The sequence below is a fragment of the Homo sapiens genome, chromosome 8 (genome assembly GCF_000001405.40).
Source record: "Homo sapiens chromosome 8, GRCh38.p14 Primary Assembly".
NCBI lineage: Eukaryota > Metazoa > Chordata > Mammalia > Primates > Hominidae > Homo > Homo sapiens.
The window spans coordinates 15642591-15669258 of NC_000008.11; the positions used below are offsets into that span (position 1 = coordinate 15642591).

A 26668-nucleotide genomic window follows, 5' to 3' on the forward strand; every position below is an offset into this window, starting at 1 on the left:
TTACCACATGAAGCTGAAGAATAGACTTACTGGGAAATCCTGCAGGATTTAAGATGTGAGTTAACGCTTTCCTCATTTTGACTTCTCAGGTTTTGCAATATATATATATGAATTTACTTAACAGATATTTTTTGAGTATCATGATAGTTCCTGGGCATGTTATCATAAACAAGGTTTACATTGCTTTGTTGTTTTGTTTTTATTATTTAAGATTATAAGTGTTATAATGGATTGAAGTATCTTGAGGCAGTGGCCTGTATGTCTTACCTCTTCCAAACATTGAATTAATTCACCCATTTATTCATTTATTTGCTAATTCTTTATTATTAGTTGCACAAATATTAAATACATATTATAATCATATGTAGTAGGTAAATGATACGGCTTGACTGTGTCCCCACACAAATGTCACTTTGAATTGTTCCCATAATCCCTATGTGTTTTGGGAGGGACCCATGTTGTTCTGATGATAGTGAGTGAGTCCTCACATGACCTGATGGCTTTATAAGGGGCTTTTCCGCCTTTGCTTGGCACTCCTTCTTCCTGCCGCCTTGTGAAGAAGGTGCCTTGCTTCCCTTTTGCCTTCCGCCATGATCATGTTTACTGAGGCCTCCCCAGCTGTGCTGAACTGTGAGTCAGTTAAACCTCTTTCTTTGTAAATTACGCTGTCTTGGGTATGTCTTTATTAGCAGCATGAGAATGGACTAATACAGTAAGAAAACTTGTTAAACGAACAATGCGTTAAATGATTTCCTTACTACATTGTGTGACATTCTTCTTGGCATACCACATTTAAGCATTAATATGTTACTGTTAGTTGTTTTTTTTTTTTTAAGGAGAACCAAAATTTCTTTGACTTTCAAAAACTGAGTGCTAACTCTGCGTATTGTATACACTTCAACATATTTTATGTTCATATACAGTTTTGCTTTAAAATATGTATTTGGATCACATATGTTAGAATTGTTTTCCAAGGAAAGATCTACTTAGGTCTGATGAAGAAAATGGATGCACAGGGAACAGCTTTAAGAAACACAACCTCTTTATCTTACATCTAGTGAATTATTCAGTCAATTACAATATGGTAGTGAACTGTTGATTTCTCAGCTCTTCAGAGGCCTTAGGTCTACTTAATATATTTCAGTGAATTCAGCTGGGCCCTGATATGTATAGCGCAACCAGAGGAGCAACTGTGTTAGAAGTCTTTGTGCAGGGTGTTGTTTATCAGTTGTTTTTTTCTTCTCGAGGACCAGAACCTTAAGTAATAGGTGAGTGTGCTCGCTCCAGATCTTTGTGTATCACTGTCTATAGAATTTTTTTATTTGGGGTTTTATTATGGCATAAGTACAATTCATTTTACGTATATAACTGTAAAGACATACAATGGTATTTTCATACGAATCTGCTATAAGAAGTTTGATTAACATTAAAAAGAGAAGCTATACTTCTTAAAACATCTCTTTAAAAATTATATTCATCATGGGAAATAAATATGTAGAACTGTAGATGATATAATTCTTTTTAGTTTTACATAACCTTTTAAAAAGCATTATAACATAAAAGATTGTAGCATTTAGATTAAGTGATTTTTTTCCCCATAATAAAATATGGAGAAGATTTACTATAACACATTTAACAGAACAGTGCCCTGCAGTTATTGCCTAAGCCTTCCTGGATCCTTTTGACGCAGCGTGACTGCCCTCTTCAGGCTGCATAAGTATATATTAGAATTTATGGCGTTCACTACATTCATGAAGTTAGGCCTTTACTATTACTATGAACTACTACAACAAAATATTTTTCAGTTAATAGTGTTGGAAATGTAGTCATTTTAGTTAAGTGCTTGGAGTATTTGTGGATTTTAACTTGCCATTTCAGATGGTAGTGAGGTCAGAAGTGTGCTAATAAGCTTTCGTAATGTCTCATTTTGCTCATCAGTCCAAGCTGACAGAAACATATTCAAGGATCCTCTGAATTTCTTTATCTGTCATTAGTTAGGTTTTCTCTGTCCCCTATTAAACGTTAAGAAGTTGGGATATGGAGGGCGCATAAGGGATAATGGGGGTAAGTATGCATAGGGTCTTTGTTATTGGGGCACATTTTTTTTTTCTAATGAATCTTTTGTACTCTGAAGAGATATCATTAATATTAAAATACGTATTCCTCGGGCTCATTTATTTATTTTTAATGATATACAGATCTGTTTACTGACCCTGTTTCTACTGAATTACACTCAGCAGAAAAAAGCCCCCATTTGCCTTGTCATTATTAAATTTTCCCCAAGTATTGTATTTGAGTCAAGAAAATGTGATTTGCTTTAGCTTCTGTGGAATTCTTTATTCTAGCCAGAGCTATCCCTAAGTATATTGTCTACAAAATTTTGCTGGATGTTATGGCTTGCCAGGTTGCAATGGAGAATTTATGTGAAATAGGTCACATCTTCATTTACATAATATTTTAATAGTCTCATATGTTTTCCCAGCCAGACCATTAGAGTAACATTGAAAGTGGGTTCCAAACCTTCATTTTCTTCTCCTCCAATATATCATGCATATTGTTGTGAGATACAGCATTCTCAAATAGTATTTTGCATAATCTACTTACTTCAGAAACACTTGTTTACTATTTACACAATAAAAGCTGGGTCCTATTTATGTTTCTACCACTTCCAGAGTTTATTTTCTACCCTGAAGCTTACATTCTATTACTTGAACACAGAATACACATTCCAGACAGGGTAGTCTTTGTTTATACTGTTTCTATTACCTTACTTTTCTCTCCCTGTCCTTGCTTGTTGTAAGTGCAGTCCTTCCAGACATACCACCATTATTTTCCAATTTTTTTTTACATTCATACTTTGTCGAACTGTTCCAGCTCACTATTATCTCATCCTCTGTATGCTGTATAGCACCTACAGTCTACATTCCTCTTTAAAATATGTATACCTTATTTATGTACTAGAGTGCTTATCTATTCTTTAACCTCTTAAAAGTGGAGACTGTGAGGTATACTTCTTTATTATTGCAGTACATATGAAAATGTTGAGTATAAATTTCACTGATGATTAAGATCTGGATTCAACATTTGTTATGAAATTGTCATTACTAATAGGATATCACATGATGATTTAGTCATTGTAACCTTTGAGTCATGAACACTATTCCTTTGACAAACAGCATATGTTTGTGATAGTACACAGATGTAAAATTTCATTTTTTCTTCCCCTCAACACCATAACTAAAGTAAAGGAAATCTGCCTTAAAAGAGACATTATCCAGTGACATAAATCTGACTAAATGAGTTGTAGACTCTCTAGAATTCAGAAATTCTAATGTGGTAAACTTAGCTTAAGGGTATTTATGATATAGTGGCTGGCTATGAAACTATATTATTCATCATCAGTATCATTATACCTTTATTAAATGCCACTTCTGTACTAGATCCTAGCCATTGGACAATCAATATGTAATAAGAACAGCTATGCATAAAATCAGTAGTGCTACACAGTCGCTGAGAATTTCTGTTTCAGACATTTCCATCAGCAAGCATTGTAAGTATAGTGATTTGAAGTGACTTCCTAAAGAGAGGCAGTTTTTGAGCAAGCTTCTGAAAGAAGGGAGGACATTCTAAGTGAAGTATTTCATGCACGTGGTTAAGAATGGACATAGTATGTTCGTGAAACACAGACTATTTGAGTGTGGTATTTTTATAAAGACATAGATTATGTAAGTTGTGGCCAAGTTATGGAGGTTTTTGACTTTTATTCTTCCCATTATCTTCATTATGTACGTAGTGGGGAACATTTTTGGACTTTAGAATAGAGGCTAGAATCTACAAATTGGTTATTGGGACATTAAATCTGAAAAAGTAGAGTAATATGGAATACAGAGTTTGAAGGCAAATTGAATTCATGCTCTTTGACTCCCCATTACTTTATCACTTTTTATTTTTTAATTTTTTTAAATTACATTTTAGTATTCAATACTTGTATTATGTTAAAAGTTTTTAGATTATAGTACTGTTCATATTTAACCCTCTTAAAACATAATATTTTAATCAAAACAATGTTATGTGCTTCTTGTTTATAAAAAAGAACTGCAGAAGAGGCCCTTGCACTCATCTGATTTGCACACAGGTAGGCTAGGCCAGAGATGATCCTACCAGAGAATGTTTCTGCTTTGTAATTTTTTTCTTCTGTTGTTTTTAAAAAATAGCTGTAAATGTTATTCTTGTAACAACATTTTATACAGTAAACTTATCTTTACATTCTTGTTATGATAGGTATAGATTTAACTCATCTCACCTTTCATTGCTTTTTGTTTATTCTTTTGTTTATCACTGTAACACTAAATAACATCTTTGTGTTTTTTGTTCATTACCTATGGCTGATGTTTTTTGATTCCCGCATTGTGATATGAAGATGAGCAGACATCTTCTTCCCCATCACCTCTTCTTCTTCTCTTTTACATACCAAATTCTGTTGGCTATCGTTCTATATTGTCATAGTTCATAATATGTACATTCCATACTGTAACCATAATTATTACATTTGAGTTCTGTTTATAGGTTGATTTAGAAAGTTAAAAGGGAATAAACAGCATTTACATTATTATTTCTGCATAAGTAGCATCAATGGCAAAGTAGTAGGTTATCATTATGATTCCTTTTCTACAGTGCCATTGTTGATAACCCCTGACCCGCTCAAAAGAATATATTTAAATAATCTTTCTAATCACCAGTTCATCAAAATTATGATACATTTTAATAAGCTGCATATTTGAACCTTGTCTCTTATGTTCATTTTTTTGTTTTTATTTTTCCTGTTGGAATAAATACGGTTTTCTTACTATAGATTTAATATGTTCTAGCTGTTTCTGATTTTAATGATTACTTAGAATCTATTCTTTTCATCTCGAAGTCTAAAATTCCTGTTCTAGTTTGTATTGGTTGCATCATAGCTTCACAGACTACAGCTTCTTTACGTCTTCTCTCCGTGCTACCTCACTCACTGCATTTCTAGTTGCCTTTTTTCCTCTCTTACAGTGCTCTATCATAGTCTTAAGTTTTCTTAGTTTTTCATTCACACTACCTTTTCTATCAGTTATATTTTAAGGTAATTTTCTGAGAATTTGGGGTCTAATTTCAGATTCCTTACATTTCCATGAACATGTTTATTTCAAACTTGATTATTTGTCTCAACGTGCAATTTTAAATAGAAAATAATATTCTGAAGGAATTCTTCTATTTGTCGGTATCTAGTGTTGCTAATGATCAGTCCATTCCCAATCTCATTGATTGCACTTGTTTAGGAAACTTTTTTCTCTGAGAACTTTTAGGATCTTCTTTTTATCCATAGTGTTTTGATATATCCCAGTATCTCTCCAGGTTGTTCTTTTCTCATTCCTCTTATTCAGAACTGGGAAATGATTTTAATTTGAAGACTTAATCTCCTTTAATTGTATTGTTTACAGAAATACCATTTTCTCTGTTTCACCTCTCCTCTATTTCTGTGATGCCTGTTTGAAAAAGGACTTACTGGACTCTAGGTCCTTCTCATTCTGTCATACATTCCACCTATGTTGTTTTTGTTCTGTGAATTTTATTCGACTCTGTCTTCTAACATTGGTGTTTTATTTGGGCAGTCATATTCGAAATCTATATAAGTGCTCTCTCTTTTACTATCTTTATTCCTTTTTTATATGATATTGTTTTTGTTTTTTCCTTCCGTGAATACCCATGAACAAAGCAGTCTGCATGTTCTCACTGGGTATGTCGAGAATACAAAGGCCTGACTAGACGCGGGCAGACTCTGAGGGTTGTATGTGCAGTGACAAGCCTTAAAGAATAAGACGTTGGCTGGGCGCAGTGGCTCACGCCTGTAATCCCAGCACTTTGAGAGGCTGAGGCGGGCGGATCACGAGGTCAGGAGATCGAGACCATCCTGGCTAAGACGGTGAAACCCTGTTTCTACTAAAAATACAAAAAATTATCTGGGCGAGGTGGCACACGCCTGTAGTCCCAGCTACTCGGGAGGCTGAGGCAGGAGAATGGCGTCAACCCAGGAGGCGGAGCTTGCAGTGAGCCGAGATCGCGCCGTTGCACTCCAGCCTGGGTGACAGAGCAAGACTCTGTGTCAAAAAAAAAAAAAAAAAAAAAAAAAAAAAAAGACATCTCCTGTTGAACAAAGCATCATCTTGTTATCACGTACCATAAAAACAATAATTCCTTTAAACCCGGTGTTTCTCTCCTGTAACAGTCACCTGTATGTGCAGGAGTCCATGAAGAGCCCTTTGTGTTACCGTGTGAGACTTGGGGGATAGAGAACTAATGAAAATGAAAATGAACTAATAAAGTCCCTTTTCTCTGACCCAGGAGTCTCATGTCTTCTGCCAGCATCCATGAAACAGTAACAGGCTAGGTCGTTAGCTTGCATTATATATGTGGTAAAATCTCAGATCCTGCACAGTTCTTGATAAATACAATATCTTTTCTGACAGAATTTTTATAAGTATGTTAGTTACAGTTACACTTCCATTTTCATGTTTTCTGATCGTTCTTTTAGAGTCTGTTTGTTTTGGGAAGTTTTTAAGAAATCACATAAGGTTTTCCTCAAATACATGTTTTTTTTCGTTGCGGTGGGGATGAAGGCTAACATTGGGACTGGTTCGGGAGGGTGCAGAAGTTTGGTCTACTATTGAGTATTAAGAAGTTTAGCCGGGCGCGGTGGCTCACGCCTGTAATCCCAGCACTTTGGGAGGCCGAGGCGGGCAGATCACGAGGTCAGGAGATCGAGACCATCCTGGCTAACACGGTGAAACCCCGTCTCTACTAAAAATAGAAAAAATTAGCCGGGCTTGGTGGCGGGCGCCTGTAGTCCCAGCTGCTTGGGAGGCTGAGGCAGGAGAATGGCATGATCCTGGGAGGCGGAGCTTGCAGTGAGCCGAGATCGCGCCACTGCACTCCAGCCTGGGCGACAGAGCAAGACTCCGTCTCAAAAGAAAAAAAAAAAAAAAAGTTTAATTATGACATCTGTTTTTAGCTTCATGTTTTTTTTAAATCTCCAGCCTCTGCTGCTTCTGAATCTAATGTTTTTCTAGCTTCTTATTGCACTGCAATCTCCTTTGAGAGTCTAACTTCCTCTCAAAACTTTTCACCAGCTTTCTGTTTTTCAGATATTTGTGGAACTCTTTCTGCTGCTGACTCTGCTCCAAGTCCTTTTGTTATTGTTAGGTTGTACCTTTTTATTTCTTTATTTTCATTTTGGGGAGAGGGGGGAGATAAACTCTAGAGAACAGTCAACCATACTGAAGAAGCAATTTTATTTTTTAAAAATGTTTTAGCAATAACTTGTTGCTTCTTATTTCTATTACTGCATTTACATCCTCCTATAAATGCCATTTTTCTGTTTCTTCTCTGTTCCTACATAAAGTTTTATCATCTGGAAAATTAGCAAAATATCTAATAAAAATGTGTTCAAAGTAGAAACAAATATCATCTTAGAGAAGGAATGTTTGTGGCATCTGGTTTAGCTACAAAGAGAAATCTTTGCTTACTGTTGGTTTGAATGTAAATGCATTTTGAGATAAATGGAATGAATAAGGTGGAGTATAAGTATTTAAAATTTTAAAACTATTAATTTTGTTTTTCTGTTAAACTAAGTTGCAAATATTCTTAAAAATTGGTCTTTGCATTTTACTAAACATTATTGGAATATTTAATTTATGTGTATAGGGAATGCTGCAAAATGTTTTTATTCCCTAGAGTAAGAGTTGGCAAAATTTTTATTTAAAGGGCTAGGCTTTGTGATACATGTAGTTGCTGTCTTGTTGTTACAACTTTGCCCTTATAGCACATAAGCAATATGTAAATGAATAAATGTGGCTGTGTCGCAATAAAACTGTAGTTATGAACATCAGAATTTGAATTTTATGTAATTTTCATGTCAGAGAATCCTTTTTTTAAAAAAAAATATTTTAAAAACTATGCTTTTCTTACAGTCTGTACAAAAACTGGCCAGTGCTTGTCCTAGGGTTGTCTGTTTTAATAACTGCTTTGTAGATGCTTCAGTACTGATGTGTTTCTACTATGGCCCATTATTCTTATCAGGCAAGCTAATGAAGAATATCAAATACTGGCGAACTCCTGGCGCTATTCATCTGCTTTTTGTAACAAGCTCTTCTTCAGTATGGTGGACTATGATGAGGGGACAGACGTTTTTCAGCAGGTAAAGAGTTATATCGTATTCATATATTTAACATAGTTGTTTGTGGTCGATACATTTTTGTTTGTCACATAAAAATACAATTCATTCATCGTCTGAACCTGGGAGGCGGAGGTTGCAGTGAGCCGAGATTGTGCCACTGCATTCCAGGTGGAGGACAGAGCAAGACTTTTACACACACACACACACACACACACACACACACACACACAAATACAATTCATTCAATAGGTTAGTAAATACAATAAGTAGTTATAATACATTTTGTGATGTGATTAACATAATTATGGCTAAACTTATTTTTATCATTGTACAGGTTTTTGCCATTATGATAAATTCATTTTAACTTTTGCAACATAGAGGAAATGTGTTTTTTCAGCATGCAGTCGCAGTTTACATGCATTGGTCTTATTCTGGCATTTAATTATAGGTGGTAGTGTATTATAGATAGTATTTTGCACAGATTTGTGACATTTTATATAAAATTTATTGCAAGTTTTACTTAACTGTTATTTTTTCCAATGTGGCAGATAGTATTTTACATATAGAGGATTAAATATTTATTGACAAGTATTTTCTCTCTGTTTATGGACTGAATTGTATTTCCCCAAATTCATAAGTTGAAGCCATAGCTTCTGGCGTGACTGTATTTGAAGATAGGGCCTTGAAGGAAGTAATTAAGGTTAAATGAGGCCATAAAGGTGGAACCCTAGTCCAAAGGGACTGATGTCCATATAAGACGAGGAATCGGGAGCAGGAGTGCATGTGCAGAGAGAAAAGGGGCATGTTAGAACACAGCGAGAAGATGGTCACAGGCCAGGAAGAGGAGCCTCACCCGAAACCAACTCTGCCGGCACCTTCCTCTTGGACTTTGAGTCTTCAGAACTGTGAAAAATAAATTTCTGTTGGTTAGGTCACCTACTCTGGAATTTTCTGTTCTAGCAACTCAAGCAAACTAATAAGCTTATTTACCCAGTATTCTCTATAGAGCAAGGTATTAGACTTGCGATTGGAACACTCATTATCATCGATGTTGTCATGGTTGTATCATCATCATTGTTGACATCGAGAGCTTATGTCCAGGCACTGTTCAACTTATGTATTATTTCATCTAGCTTCACAGTGAGAGAAATGTTGTTACTGGCTCCATTTCATAGGTGAGGAAATAAGGAATGCAGAAATTGTTGCTTGTCCAAGGTCACAAAGTTAGTGTAATGTGTAACTAGAATTTGAACTCAACTGTGTGGCTCCCAGAGCCCTAGCCTTAATCATGCTGTTACCCTGCAGTTCATTATTATTTTTTAAAATGTTTTTACTATGTGATCAATCTATTTAAAATGCAAAACTTAGTGCAGTTCCGGGGTTGATCTTTTCGGGTATCTTGGTCTATCTCACATGTGATACTCTTTGGTATAATGCTTACCAGGTCATGGAAAAGCATGCAGTTCTGTAAAGAATCTAGCCTACTAATTGTATATCACCATTAGTGAACATTTTTACTTATTTGCATCCAGATTATTTCTTCTTGCCAGTTTCTAGTTAAATAAATTCTCTCTTTTTGCCTTCAACATTCTTTTTCTGTTAGTGTTCTTCACTTATTTCCTCCAAATTTATTTTGCCTTTTTAGGATATTTCTTTATATTCATCTATTCAGCAAATAGTTTTGCTCCTATGGTACCTATTCTATAGGAGCAATAAATTTGGCAAGAAAAACATACATAGTTCTCCTCTATAAGCAGCTTACAGATTAGGGAGCTAATGATAATAGTAATAATAGTATCATAATAAAACATATAAATATGTAATTTCAAATAACCTAATAAAGGAAAATTAGAGTACTGTAAGAACCAAATATTATTTCATATAAGTAATAGATCTCTATAGAATCTCAGGATAATTGGCCTTAGAGATCATCAGATAGAAGTGCTATTCAATGTATACTTGAATCCTCTCTATCATATTGGCAAACAGTCTTCTAGATCCAACAAGACTGCTAGAGCACAGTCTTGAGGCCCAAATATCTTACATGACTAGACTTGTGGACTAAATGAAGACAGGGAGTTGGGTTAGTTTAGTTTCATTGTATCTTTGTTATGCTGTTTTTGTTGATAATACATTATCTGTTTTGTTACGATACCTGATGTACTAAGTACATACTTAGTGTATTAAACATCTTATTTACTTTTACAAATATGCCTTCTCCTATTTTTATTAAAACAATGCCTTTCTTGGTATGTCTTTTTAAAAATCCTTAACAGAAACACTCATTTTTCACTTTTTCAAAATACTTTTATTTCTTTACTACTGTAAGAAACAAAATTGCCAGAACACCATGCATCTGATCCTTGGTGTCATTGTTGAGGAAGCAGTATGGTGTGGGTGGGGACTACAGCAGATTGGAGAGAGGATTTGCTTGACCTCAGTGGGAGAGGCGCAGCTCAGCATCAGCTCTGTAGAAGAAATGTAGGCCACATGTAGCTAGATCTCTCTCAAGAAAAGACCTAAATAAAAATTTTTATATGAAATTTCTCTCTTTAAAATGTTGGCAGTTAATTCATATTTTTTTTTAAAATCTTCTGTGATATTATTATCTTTGTGTTGAGTACTGAATGTAGGCTGCTGGTATATAATCATATAAATAAATGGTTACATATAATCATTAAATTCTTTTGTATGCTTTAGACATAATTATTCTAAAGTTTGGCGTATAAGAGTTGAAGTCAGTTGTTTTTAATTGAAACATTTTCTCAGGTTAATTTTGATTCAGCAGGAATCCTGGTGTAGAACTGCCTTGTCTTTCCCAAAATCTAGTCCTTGGCTTAGCAACAAGAGTTTTCATTTTAAAATGCAGAAATGTGTAAAAGTTATAGCAGTTAATGAGTTTTATGAGGAATTTTAATCTACAGAAGTGGAGAAGTATATGTTTTGCTTCACTTGAGAAACACTAAAAGGTTTTTAATGCTTATTTTTTAACTGACTATTAAATCATATTTTGCTGAAGTACTGTCTCTGAATTGATGTTTTAAAGCACTGTTAGCAGTAATGTGGTGTCTGAAGATAATATTAATAACAAGTGCAGAAACTTGGTAATTTCTAGCTTGTTGGGGACTCACTGGGGAAGTAACTTCAATTATATGTGATTCCCATAGGAATGGCTGAGGCTAGGTATCTGATGATAGGCTAGTGGGTTAATGAATATGGTGTGTTAGAAGGAGCTCTCATCCAGGAAACAGGTCTATGTTGTGCTCTGCTGTGGGTAGCCCTGGGGAATTGGGCATTTTAATTAAGAAAAAAGACTGAATTCTATGAGTTTTTAAGAACCTCTAAAGTTTTAGAACATTAGGTCTTAGTATGGATTTTCCTATAGTTTTCATGTGGGGAGTGAGGAAGATGGGGACTTTCAGCTTTATAATTTTGTATTTACATGGTTGCTATAGACGTCTCTCATATATCCATGAGAGAAACAAACATGAACAAAGTATGGAATGGGAGAAGCACAGGGAAGAAAGGAACTGGTAACTGTGTGCTTTGTTCAGTTTAAGGAACGTTGCTAAATGTCCATTACATGGAAGCCCACTGCTGGGAGAATGGAATAAGATAGACTCCTGATGTACAGGGCCATATCACACTTATTAGATACATTAGAGATATATTTTTTATATATGTTATATATACATGTTGTATGTTATAATCTGTATGATGTTTACACTGCATTGCAGGAGCTTGTGTTTACAAATCAGTCTTCTAATGAACTTATTAAAAAAGGTTTATGAAAATAATATTGTTAAAGCCCTGCAAACGTGGTGAAACCCCCATCTCTACTAAAAATACAAAAATTAGCCAGGTGTGATGGCACATGTCTGTAATCCCAGCTACTGGGGAGGCTGAGGCAGGAGAATTGCTTGAACCCAGGATATTGAGGTTGCAGTGAGCCGAGATCGTGCCATTGCCCTCCAGCCTGGGTGACACAGCAAGACTCCATCTCAAAAAAAATAATAATAAATAAAATAGTTTTCATTAAATGGAGATAGAGTTCAGAAGGTATTATGATATCCTGGTAATGAAGTGTCTAGAGTCAGAAAACCTGAGTTCATCTTCCATCTTTACTTCTTCATTGCTGTGTGACCTTTGGTAAATCACTTTATTTTTATATGCCTCTACTCATCTGTAAGAGAGGGAAAATAATAGTACCTTTCTCATAAAACTGTTGGGAAGATTAAAATAAGATGTTAGCTTTAGAGTAGGTAGCTATGCAGACATGAGCAGGGCAGGAGAGGGTCCCTCACCCCAGGATGTCAGGTGACCATCATGTGATGATCAGGTGGTTGTTAAACTGTCTTGCTAAAATAATAATTGGTTGCAGCTGGCTGCTAGGAAAGGCAGTCTCCCAGTAAATAGAAAACACCTGAAGATGGTGATTAGCAGCTTCCTGCTAAGATCTTAGGACTTAAGTGAGTAGGCTCAAGCATGCGCACCAAGAGACAAAATGGCGGTGTTTAACTGTAATATGACCTTCCTCGCGGAACACTCCACTAGTAAGGGAAAAATGCCTCAAATGAGCATGTGCACAACTTCAGTAAACACACTGTGCATACGGCCCCTCCCAAGTGCTGGCAAGCCACTGTGCAGGCACATAGCCCACCCAAAGGGAAAAATCAAGGGGGAAGAGACAAACCCTGGGGTCATGCCAGTGTATGAAACTCCAAGTCAAAGTCCGAACAGTGCACTTTGATGTCTCGAAGTTGCCCACCTGGCCTTCCTCCAAGTGCACTTCCTTCTATTCCTGCTCCAAAACTTTTAAATAAACGTCACTCCTGCTCTAAAACTTGCCTCAGTCTCTAACTCTGCTTTATAACCCTCAGATGAATTCTTTCCTTTGAGGAGCCAAGAATCAAGTTGCTGCAGACCTCCAGGGATTCACCACTGCTAACACTAATATATGTAGCTGTTTAGCTCTATTCCTGATGGATAAATATATGCTAAATAGTTCTTATTACTATTACATAACATTAGCAGTAATACTGGTGTGTAGCCTTCCTTCTTCCCCAAACCACCTTATTTTTGCATAAGTTGGTTAAATCTAAATTCTGTAGAAATAATTAAAAGTTGTGGTAAAGGAATGAAGAGAAAGGAAAGAAACGATGAAAAGATTACCTAGGAATCCCTTTGGAAGGGCTAACTGCTTAACCATTGTCTTAGTTCATTTTGTTCTGCTACAACAGAATACCTGAGACTGGCTAATTTATTCAACAGGAGTTTGTGGGGTGGGCAGAGGCAGAATATGATGGTTTGAATATTTTGCATTCAAACAATGAGTAAAAAACATTCAAACCATCATATTCTGCCCCTAACCCTACCAAACTCATGTCTTTCTCACACTCAGAATACATTCATTTTGTCCCAATACTGCCAAAAGTCTGAACTCATTCTAGTACCAACTCAAAATTCCAAAGTCCAAAGTCTTAACAAAATCAGATATAGATGAGACTCAGGACATGATTCATCCTGAGGCAAATTCCCCTCCAGCTGTGTATCTGAAATCAAACAAATTAACTACTTCTAAAATAAAATGGTAGAACAGGCATTGAATAGACATTCCCTTCCAAAAGGGAGAAATAGGCAAGAAAAGAAAAAGGGGTAACTGGCTCCAAGTAAGTCCAAAAACTGACTGGGAAAACAGTATTACATCTGAAAGCTGGAGATTATTTTTTTTCATTCCACGTCCCATCATCTGGGCACACTGGGGCAAAGGTTGAACCCTCAAGGCCTTGGGCAGCCCCACCCACCTCTATAGCTTTGCCAGGCCCAAGCCCACGCAACAGCTCTCCCAGGCCCAAGCCCACGCAACAGCTCTCCCAGGCTGGTGTTGCATGCTGTTGGCTCTGTAGTTTGGGATTTCAGCAGAGGCCCTGCTGCTGTAGATCCACTAAGGGGGATTCTTTACAATGGCTCTGCCTCTGCAACAAGTCTTTATCAGGACTCTTGGGCTCTCCACAAAGTCATTTGAAATTTAGGTGAAGGAAGACATACCTCCTCAGCTCTTACATTCTGGGCACGTGCAGAGCTAGTGCCCAGAATGCTGCCAAGGCTCATGGCTTGCACCCTCCAGAGTAGTGGGTTGAGCAACACTTGAGCCTACTTGATCCTTGGTGAGGGCAGCTGAGGAGCACTACAGCAGTATGCAGGGAGTGGACACCCCAAGTGGCTCTGAACAGTGAGCTTTGACGTCCCATAGATACCCCAGGTTTTCCCCCAAAGAGCTCTGAAATGCCTTCAGGGTCTTTCTCCCATTTTCTTGATGAGTAATACCTGGCTTCCTTTCCATCTCTGCTAATCTCCTTATAAATAGTCCTTAGGCCACATTCTTCATATTCTCTCCTGAACATGTTTTTTATTGTTTACATAGCCAGGCTGAGAGTTTTCCAAATCTTTATGTTTTGCTTCCCTTTTAATTATAAATTGTGTCTTTAAATCATTTTTTGTCTTCTATTTTATTATATGCATTTAAAGTAAGCCATACTGCATCCAGAATGTTTTGCTGCTTAGATATCTCTTCTGCCAGATATCCTCGTTGATTGCTTTTAAGTTCTGCATTCTATAAAGTCCTAGGACACAGACACACTTCAGCTAAGTTCTTTGCAGTTTGTAAGAAGGATGGTCTTTTTTTCCAGATTTCAATACCTGTTTCTCATTTCCGTCTGAGACCTCATCAGAATGGCTTTTACTGTCCATATTTCTTACCAGCATTCTGATCATAACCACTTAAATAAGAAGTTGTAGACTTTCCTTGCACCTCCCCTCTTCTTCTGAGCCCTCTCTAGAATCACCCTCAGTGCTCCGTTTATGGCAATCTAGGCTTTTTCTAGTATGCTCTTCCAGATTCTTTCAGTCTCTACCCATTATCTGGTTCCAAAACCATTTCACCTTTCCAGGTATTTGTTGTAGCAGCACCCAGTGCCTCTGAGACCAGTGTTTGTCTTAGTCCATTTTGGGCTGCTGTAACGGAATACCTGAGACTGGATAAGTATAATGAACAGATATTTGTTTCCCATAGTGCTAGAGGCTGAAAGTCCAATATTTAAATATTTACCTGCCGGCGTCTTGCCAGGCACTTCTTGCTGCATCATCACATGGCATGAGGGGACAGTGTGAGAGAGAATCAAGAGCAGGCTCAACTTGCACTTTTATAATAGCACTCATCCCACCCATGAGAGTGGAGCCCTCATAGCCTAATCACCTCCTAAAGCTTCCACGTCTTAATATTGCTACAGTGGCAATTAGATTTTCAACATGAGTTTTGGCGGGGACAAACATTCAAACCATAGCAAACATGGACCAACTCTTAATCTTTAGCAGTAGTGTTTGAAGAGCACTAATGTAGATAACATGGAGGTAAATAATGGAAATTTGATTGCATTTGCAGTACTAAAAATGAGAAATTTTTGATATAGAGCCATTTCTTTTGGGTATTCAGCTTGTTTGTGCTAAGTTGTGTGAAGCTCTGTAAAATGATTTGGAGCTGTCTTGTAAATAATGACTGCTGTAGTCAGAGTTCATTTGTAGGGCAAGACCTGTTTTGGTCTTGACTGTACTTGGTTATTAAACTTTGTTGTTATGGGCAGCTAAGCTTTTACTGTTGTATCGTTTGCTTGATATCAACTGTGATCTAATGTATATTTATATATTGATTTTTGTTTTCATTATTAGAAAATACTGAACTGTACTGCAAGTCAAGGGCTGAAAAATCTCTTGGCCTTTCATTTTAAAACTTTTTTTTATAATTCCTGGGCAACAGAAATTTAATTCGTGTATATATACACATATATATACACACACACACACACACACAAATACAATATATATACACATACAATATATATACACATACAATATATATACACATATATACAAATATATATATTTGTAGTTTATTGCTTACTGCAAATTAACCTAATATATGTTTTTAGATATTGTTAAATAAGCACCGTTTATACGAGGGTAGTGTTCTGTTTAGTATACTTTTCAAATGGAAATTACCTGTAGAAAATATTTCTGAAATATAATCAATTTAACACAGTTGAGTTAATAGAGCAGTTGAGCAGAAAAAGTGTTATTTGAGGATTTCTTCTTCATTCTCTGGTAAATTTAACTTGTTAAGAGCAGAAATGTTGGTTTCTCTTTCATAGTCTTCATCATTACAAAAAAGTAAAGTCTTTACATTTGTAATAGGGAATTCAATCTACTTATAACTTGTTGGAAATTAATTCCATAATATGCTTATTTTTTAAAAACAAATTCCAGTACTTTTTAAAAATAACTGCTTAAGAAGTAAAATAATTCATGTACTGCCAAACTGCTATATTTCTACTTTGCACTTTCAGTCACTTTTTTTTACCCTAATTATAGAATTCAAGAAAGAAAAAGAACGAAATGACTTACAAAATATACAGAACATAATGCATAATTTGAATGATGTATGTTAAATGTGAAGATTCAGATAACTTAGTCAGATTTACATGTTCTTTTTCATCCAGTAGTGAATTAAGACAAATAAAAACAGAAATTTACCTCTGGAAAACCACTTGGATTTTCATAATAAATGCTGTTTTCCCCGAATTTCTACAGAAAAAGTGTAAAATATTGGATTAATGATAAGATGATCCTATATTTAGTATTTTTTTCTCATGTTTTACAGCTCAACATGAACTCTGCTCCTACATTCATGCATTTTCCTCCAAAAGGCAGACCTAAGAGAGCTGATACTTTTGACCTCCAAAGAATTGGATTTGCAGCTGAGCAACTAGCAAAGTGGATTGCTGACAGAACGGATGTTCATGTATGTTTTTATTCCTCACAGTTTTAATAATAGGCTGGTTAGTTTGTTTTTATGGAGCATTTTAATAAGGCCACAGTAATACTTTTTAATTTCTCTATGGTTGTTTCTCCTTGCATAGAGAAAACTGTTCGATTACTGCAAATGATAAGTTGGACTATTAGCTGAATTCAGATGCTTTTTAAAATAGTGGTTCACTGATATTTTAAAAGCCATTAAAAATACAGGAGTTAAGCACAAGGTAATTTCAGAGGCTAAAAAACGTTTAAAACGTTTCAGTGGTAGTAATCAAGGAAATTCTAATTAAAAAGCAAGATATATAATTTTTAATCTATCTTTTGGTCAAACAGAAAAGGTTAATACCCACCTTAAAGCTACGTGGAAAAATGTCTACTCAGATTTACTGCTTTTGGGACTATAAATTGGTGTAACCATACTAATAGCATGTGTCATGTCTGTATGTAATTTAACTTAACAATTCCGCTTCTAGGAATTTAACCTAAGGATGCAATCAAGGATGATTTAAATTTTTATCCATAGAAATTTTGAAAATAATATTCATTTTATTGGGAAAAATTGAATATAAATCAAATGTCTAAAAATAAGAAAAAGTAAATATACTATGGCATAGCCAAAAAATGATTTACAAGAATATTTTACCTAGAATGAAGCTCAAGATGTAAAACATTTCAAAGTAGGTTAGAAAAATAGTATTAATTAATAGTATGATCTATTAGTTTTTTATAAAGTACAAATATGAGTATAGATTGACATAGACAATTTATTATGGAAGGAAATGAACCTAAATGGTGATGGTAGTTCATACTTACTTGGAGATTTTATGACCATTTTTTCTCTATTCTCACAACTACTTTTGACAGTAAACAATTGGAGCCAGTTATTTTAAAAGTACGTTCGTGCAGGCAGTAATACAGAAGCATTAATTTTTACTATAAGATATAAACACATTTGTTCTGAGTCAAGGTGGTAATTGCCCACATGGTACCACTGTCATTGTAAAATTATATCATTGGTTTTAATGACATTTTGGTGACTAAACTTATTTCCTAATTCTTATCATTTTTTAATGTTTTGGCAAATATTTTGTTATGCAATGTATCATTTAGTTGGTGCAAGACATTAAGAGTAATATTGAAAGGGTACTATTGTTTCCTTATAAGAAATACTAAATTTTAATCAGAACTTATTCTAACCTGTCTCCCTAGCAGACTTTACGCATTTAGTCGATAAACTTTTGTTAAAAAAAAAAAAAAAAACCCATAAAACTATATGTGGAAACAATTTCTAAAATGTTTTAGAAATGAAAACAGTACAAATAATGCCAATGTATACCCTTTATTTAGGTTCACCTATTGTTAACATTTTATTCCATCTGCTTTGTGATTATCATTCTCCCTGCTACCCCCATGTCTCTTTACCTCTCTCCACACATGCAGACACATATGCACAATTTTTTCTTTCTGAAAAAAATTAGGGTGAATTGCATTTTGAAAGAAATAAGCAAAGCAGTTATCAACTTCATAGGTTTACATTTACATAATACTTTTATTTGAGCTACCACTACCCATATTACAATTTTGTCAAGTAACCTAATACCCTTTACATTGTCCACCTTCAGTACAAGATTTGGTCTAGAGTTAGATATTTCATTTAATTGTCATGTCTTGTAAGCTTCTTTTAATCCGGAATATTTCTGTAGCCTGTCTTTTCTCTTTAAAAACATTGACACTTTGAAGAATATAGTCCTTTGCTACTTTTTAAATAGAGTGATCCTCATTTGATCTGCCTCATCTTTGTTCATGATTGACTTCTGCTCATGCATCCTTGAGTATAATATTACATAGGTCCTGTTTTGTTTTAATCACCTCTATAGGCACGTAATGTCCATCTGTCCTTCACTGGTGATACGAATTTCAAATATCTGATCAAGATGTTTCCCATTTTTTCATGGTATAATTACTGATTTTTGGTCCTCCTTTGTAATTAATAAGCTGTCTATGTGGATATAGTAAGTAGTAAAAGCTATACTATACTACAGTCTTCGTGTTTTAAAGGATACCGTCAAAAAAGTAGCACACAGAATGGGGGAAAATATTTGCAAATAATTTTTCTATAAGATACTTACAGCTAGTTTGTCTATATATATATATATACATGAGTCTTACAACTTAAAAAGAGAAAACCCAATTCAAAATGGGCAAAGGATCTGAATGGGCATTTCTTCATGGAAAATATAAAAATAGCTGATAAGCACATGAAAAGATGCTCAGCATTGTTAGTCATCAGGGAAGTGCAAAGTCGTTTTACATAGCCATTATGTCTTAAGGCATATATCTTATGGCAGAATGAAAGTAGTGCTAGTGTCACGTATGAAAAGTTGGGTGGCATGTTTCTGAGTTCTTTGCGTTGAAAATTATGAGGACTAGAATATGATCAAAAGAAAAATTTTATTTTTCTTTCATTTTTGAAATTTCTATTGCATTTTTGCAGATTCGGGTTTTCAGACCACCCAACTACTCTGGTACCATTGCTTTGGCCCTGTTAGTGTCGCTTGTTGGAGGTTTGCTTTATTTGAGAAGGAACAACTTGGAGTTCATCTATAACAAGACTGGTTGGGCCATGGTGTCTCTGGTATGTTAATACATTGTGCTTTTTTTATTTCCTGTTCTTTGTGTAATAATATAAGTTGTATAATATTAACAAAATGAGCCAGATATAACTATAATAGAACTTAAGTCTGAATGAGAAGTAACTTTTTAGAACTTGGATAATTTAGTTTGAGTTTTCTGTCAATCAAAACTGTGCTATCTTCCTTCAACTTTTCACTGCATGTACTGTCCCTCTGTACTTGGCACAAGTGCTAGATAAATACATGTTGAATACATCTAGAAATATGGTAAGACTTGATCAGAATTAATAGCTCAGAATAATTTGCAAATGGTTTGGAAATTCAGCTATTTCTGAATTTCTCATTCAGCTATTTCTTTTCTGACAACTGTTTCTTGTGTATCTTCTATGTGACTGATATATGTTAGATACTGGCGATATAAAGTTAAGAAATACACTCTGCCTGTGAGAAATGCATTGTGGGGATACAGAGTAATCAACAAATGGAGTGTAAGGTTATGTGTGCTATGACGGCAGTAAGTAACAGAGTATTACAGGAATGCACAGGAGAGAAACCTAACCTAGAGTAAAGGGAATCATGACAAGCTTCCCAGATTGTGACATGAGCTGAATTCTGTAGAAGAAAATGAAATTCTAAAGTCGTTAAGGCCAAGTATTCAACATAAGTGAAGCCTGGGATATTCAGAGAACTACAGTTGTGTGGGGCTACAGCAGTGATGGCAAGGTAGGAGGGGAAAGAGATGACAGTAGAGTTCAGCAGTTCCCAGCTCACAGCCAATAGCCGAAACTCATTAGGATTTTATACACAAAACAATTCAGTTATAATTGAAAATAAAATCTCTTTCACAATAGGAAGGGAAAATATAAGGTACTTAAAAATAAATCTAACAGAAAATGTATGAAATATTTATAAATAGAATGTTGAAATTGAGACTAGATACATATACATATATCTAGATAAATACATTATATATCTGTATATCTTATAGATAAGTATTGTCTGTAATATAATAAAAATGTTATTATATTAAAGATATAACTACATACAATGTATTATATCTGTAAAACATAACAGATTGTTTACAGCTAATTGTCAGTTTGTTTCTTTTGCTTTCTTGCAGTAGCCCTTCATCCTTCCCATTTTATTTTTACCAAAAAATTAGGGGTCTTGATGACTAAGTTGGAAGTGATAGGACAGACTGAGAAGCAGCCCAGGCAAGAGTCACCTTGAAGCAATTTCATTTTCTGCAGTAATACCTAGAGCTTAGAAATTCAGACAGAACCTCTGTGGCTTTCTAGTACATAGTCAAAATACAAATTAGATGTTTGGCCTTTTAAGAGCAAGGAAGATAAGATTTTTTTAAAGAAAGTTTCTTAATATTGTTTTCTCACTTTTGATGAATGAGTTAAAATGGATTAATTAATTGTACTGTATTTAAAGTTATTGGACACTATGGATGATCTTAATTACCTTAGTCATTAAGTTCAAAAGTGTTTTGGCTTTTTTCCATGCTAGTTTTCAAGTTGCTTAATTCAGTAAAGCTACCCAGGTTTCCTGGTAAAAATGCAGTACTTTCACTGTGTTGTTGCAAAATCAAAACTTCTTTGGTATTTAAGAGTTAATGTCATATCAAATCTTGTCACTATTTTAGTCTACCAAAAATTGATGTAGTCTCATCTCTGAATTACATTCAAATAACATTAACATCCTTACATTATTCTTATTCCTCAAGAAGAGCCCAGAATTATTGCATTGTAAGCTAGTAATAGTTGGCATTACTCTTTACTGATCTCTTTTTTCTTTGGGGTATGCTTCATAACTGTGCAAAGGAATTTATATTGTCCTCATTTATAAACAAGGAAACAAAGATTCAGTAATCTCAACTTGTAGAAGCTTACAAAGCTAGAATGTGATTGAACTGAGATTTGATCTCATTGATCTGATTGCAAGTTCTGTATTGTTTACACAAAGCTGGGCTTCTTTAAATCTGGACATGTGTCTTATATGTTGGTGATTCAACCCAGTAGATACAGTGAGCCCTTATGACTACAAATAAATTCATAGAAGAACTTTATATGATGTATAGATGTTAAATACTTCAGTTGATCAGTTTTCTTGAAAACCTCTGCTATGTTATACAGATTTATTATTATTATTATTATTATTATTATTATTATTATTATTATTTTGCTCTTTTACTGTGAATCTTGGAAAGCGAATTAACTTGGCATGGCAGAAGATAAATTCTAAGATACCTTGGCAGGTATGCCTGCTCCCCAATCACAGCCTTTTAGAAGTCAATAAAAGGCTGCAGAGAACAGACATGTTTTCAAACAGTGAGTTTGAAAACACTACACTGATAATATAATGTTAAATTCAACAACGTTTGTAATACTTTTCTGCATCTCTTGCAGTTTTTCTCATTAATACAGAGATACTTATGTTTGATGGCCTTTGGCAACTCCTTAAATCATTTAAAAAATGAGATTAAATATATAATATATAATTTACATTATATGTTTTATGTAAATAATTTGTATATATAATTTATGTTACACATATGTATATATAAATATATAAATTGGGTCTTCTTTATCATTTCTGCCTGATACCACCACCATTACCATCACCACCAAACTTGATTGTTGCTTATAAATTGAAAAACTGAATTTGTTCATATGTAATTTTTCGTATCCTACTTTTGAGATTTCCTTAGAAAGTTAAGAGACTGTCCAAAATGCTGACCTATTCATTCAGATTCTCAAACATTTGTCTGTTTAAAATAACTAATATCTCATTTTTCCTTGGAAGTAAGGAAAAAAATGTATATTTTTAAATTTGCCAAAATATTGTCATCTGACTTACACAAACTCTGATGAAAGCCTTTGACTGGACAGTAAAAGGAAAGCTCTTAAAATAAAACAGTAATGAACCTTGTAAGAGTAGACAACTTCCATAGAACAAAAAAATGTATACAAAGGGAGGAAAATGAATGAGAGAAATGTCTGGTACAGAATCTCTGGCCCCATGCTGACTTTTTAGTAAAGGACAAGTCTAGGTACAATTAGCAGTTGTGTCTTTTTATCACTGAACCTATACAAAAGTACTTCCAAGGAGAATTATTTAGTGTTGTGAACACTTAGTCCTGGGTAGACTGTATTTTAAGGCTCATATTTTTTTTGTCTTTTTTTTACTGTGTTATTTTATTGTATATGACTTAAAGGTAGGGTAAGAGAAGTGTATGCTGAGGGAGTGGAAGTTATATGTTTTAGGGTGTAGGATGGAGATAGAAAGGTTGCAATTTCCTGACATAGGAAATTAGTATATGTAAATATTAATATGTGGAAGTAATATATGCAAATATATTACTTTGCAATATATTTAAACAGTGAGATTAAATTTGCAGTATATTGCAATATATTGCAAAGTAATATATGTAAATATTAAAACATACATATACGTTAGAATTTCCTGGTTCTTAGTTTTAAAAAAGAGCTAAAGATATTCATAAGTAAATCTTCCTGGTCTCATGCTTTCTAAGGGGGAAAAATTTTTGTTAACTACTATTTATAGATACTGATGATTGTTCATGGAATAGAATATGTATCATTGATTGGTTCTGGTTCTGGTTTCACTCCCTTCTGTCTTCCCTCACCCCCTAAACACGGAGGATGGTGGACAATAAGCATATACATTACTTGCTTTATGATGAATTTAAAGTAGAATGATGGAGTAAAATATTGAAATACACTAGTACATAATTTCAAAAAGTGTAGCATAGATACGTAGTTTATGGTCTTGAGAAAACAATATTGACTTGGAACCAAAATGAGTTAAAATTGTATGTTTTGTAGCACATAATGAAGATCTTCATGGCAACCTAAAGGTCCTCATAGGTGACTGTCATTTCAAGCCAGAAAATATTAGTAGGATAAGCAATAACATTCATTTCAAATACAGGAAAATATCCTAAGGATATGCACTTAAAAGCATGAAAGATAAAGCATCATTAAAATAATGTAATAACCCAACCTTATTATCACAGTAAATCACCGTAGGATAGAAGCTGTTTTCTGCCTTTTAATACTGTGTATTGTAGGATGATTCATACACCTTCATGTTTCTTTTGCCCCAAATAAATTATGTCATTTTAATTAAATTTTTTGAAAATCTTCAACATTGGAGATTAGTATATGTCATTATACAGTATTTACATTCATGAAAGGTACTTTGGCATGTACACATTGTGATTTATCAGTAGAAATTTATTTCTTGTGACCATTCAAAGTTACAGATGGCTTTGAGTTCAAATGGGGGTAGAAAAGGGTCTTTTTTCATCCACATTTATTTGAATAAAATTATATAACTTTTAGTATATACATATAATCTTTATTTTTTTCTCTTTAAAAATGAGAAGCAAGTAATTTCTGATAATATTTTTTTCAATGAAATAATGTTGTTTTTGGATGGCCCCAGACAGTTCTGCTCATCAGGCAACTATGTCATTTGGCCATTTGGAGTTAGTTATGGTTTTTGCAAACAGGTATTTCTATGTATAGCCATTTGTGTAAAGAGTTAGGAAAACAGAAAATAAAATGAATTCGTATATTTTTAGGATATACTTAATATATCTAATTCTTAATTTTCTGTAGTAGGAGTAAGCAGTGGCCTCAAAAACTCAAAGTACATTTTAAAACTACTCATATATGGATAGATTTTAGCATTTGAATGTTCTTGGCTGAGTTTTTGCTTATCTTATTATAAAGTCACAATTGAATAAGACTCACTGTGAAGTTCCATACATGGATCTACTACACTTCATGCACGGCTCATCTCCTTAATCCAACTCAATAGTGGTTATAAATACTTGTTGAAATTGTTATCCTCAATGCATAATTTCCTTTCCATGGAATTAAAGACTTAGTCTTAAGCTTTTTGTTGTTGCTGTTGCTGAAATGACTGTAAAGATACGTCTTACCTTTCCTTTTTTTTGTAACTAAAGCAGTATATAGATTGAGTATAAATGAAAGAAATAATGATAGTATTTCTGTATAACACTGAAACCAAGTTTTAAAAAATGAACAATAAATAATTCACTTGTGAATAGTAGAAATGCAGTGTATAAATTCACTGATATGCATGTCTGCTGTTACTCTGCTGATTTATACCACCTGTTTATTAAGTAATGTCATTAAATTACTTATAACTTGAAAACATTTTTATATTTTAAAAACATGGAATATACAAAGGATTGTATAAAATGTGTATAGAATATTACATATTTTCTGCATAGTTAGCATTAAAATTTTCACTTTCACTAGCAGCTTATTTTCATATTCAGCTGATTAAGATACCTTCAAATTAACTCGTGGTCTTAATTAAATTTTGTTTTCAAAGCTGTATCAACTGCATAGTGGAAATCTATGAAATAATTATGAACCCAAAGTGTTGAAAGCATGTAATAGTTATTTTTCTTTTTTTAAATACAATGTGAAATGTTTTCCCCAAACCAAATCGCTTATGAAAGTTCGTTGTATAGAATAGTTAAAAGCAAAGTTGCTGTAGTTACAGTGGGCGTGAACATCTTGACCCTTTGGAAAACTATAGGATCTGAGCAGTTTGTTTTGAAAAACAAGGAAAATAGACGGTTAAAGGAGGATGCCTTGAGCCAATGGTGTTCTCAGCTCACCACAGGGCTATGGCAACCTCTAGATGTGAGAAAGATAACATGTGGTTATGTTCAGTTGTGTTTATTGAATGCTTGCCTGCTATATAAATGCTGAAAGTAAGTGTTCTCCCACTGCAGTGAGGTGGAAGGATTGGTATCTGTTTTGTACATGTAGCCACAGCATTTAGAATTGTGCCTGGCATGTAGAAAGTGTTTAGTAAATATTTGTTGAGTGAGTGAAAGTTACATGAATAAATAGGTTTAAGGACATTTTAAGACATGGTTGTTTTTTTTCACTGTTACTTATAGCATTGTAGGTCATGGCTGGGACTAGTACATTTTTTTTCTAGAAATCTTAACTTACATATTCACATATTGATCAGTCTTAGAATAGTGATTCTTTGTTTCAGTGCATTTACCTTTTCTATGTTTGTTCATGTTTATTCATTTGTTGACCATTCAACAAGAGTTTGAAAGCTACGTGTATCAAAATCTATGAAGAACCATGTGGAGATACAAAGATAAGACAAGTGAAAAAGACTAGCACGTGAGCCCTGCCCACAGGGACCTTACATGTGTAGTGAGGAAGGTAAATCAGATATGTATATCAGTAACATACAAATGCTTTGATGAACATATGTCCAAAATCTTGGTGTCCCAAGATGGTATTATTTGTGACTCTCAAAGAAAACACAAATGTCCAAAACAAAATACTTCCAAAAGGACTAGCTTTGAGGGTGTTCTTTGAATTAACTGCAACAAATATCTGAGTAGCTGTTTTATTCTTACTCTTTTCAGGATTATTGTCTAGTGTCACTTTTGTCCTGAAGCCAGAGTTCAAAAAGAACCATTTATGATGCTGTATGAAACTTTAGATACCTGAGTGTCTGGTTCTCTGGAGAAACAAAAAAATAAGCAGAGTTTTTGGTTAGAAACTTCACAAGTCTCGAGTCTCGGGATGTATGCTGGTGGTAAATGGATAAGTTTCCCAAGTGGAAAGCTTCTAAAAAGCAGAGTAGAGTATTTTGCAATCTTGTGAATTAGAAGTTACAATTTGGGACCCACTGGACTCTTATTGGAAAACCTTCAGTGGTTGAGATCAAATGTAGACAGAGCTTTGCCAGGGCCATATCCAGCCATGGCTCAGTACATTCCCCAATTAGATTAGGGTGATAACACATCACTATTAAGGTTGACAATATCAAGGAAGTTGAACAACTTTAAACCAGCAAACAAAACCAACACAAGAAGAATGAGAAAGTCTTCATACTCCAGTATGGATTGAATCCATTGCTG

General features: G+C 34.4%; 1 protein-coding gene across 35 annotated transcripts in view; it reads left to right on the forward strand.

Annotated features, from left to right (window-relative positions):
• TUSC3 (tumor suppressor candidate 3) overlaps positions 1–26668 on the forward strand; it is a 434904-nt gene that overhangs the window by 225403 nt on the left and 182833 nt on the right. For 34 of the 35 annotated variants that reach the window (NR_182196.1, NR_182195.1, NR_182199.1 and 31 more), the window contains 3 exons: positions 8107–8224; positions 16917–17057; positions 19566–19706. Coding sequence is in view for 30 of the 35 variants with exons in the window: in NM_001413670.1 (NP_001400599.1) it covers positions 8107–8224; positions 16917–17057; positions 19566–19706 (400 nt within the window). In the remaining 5 variants the exon portion in view is untranslated. The remainder of the gene's footprint in view (positions 1–8106; positions 8225–16916; positions 17058–19565; positions 19707–26668) is intronic. The other variant, NM_001413677.1, reaches the window with a different exon arrangement.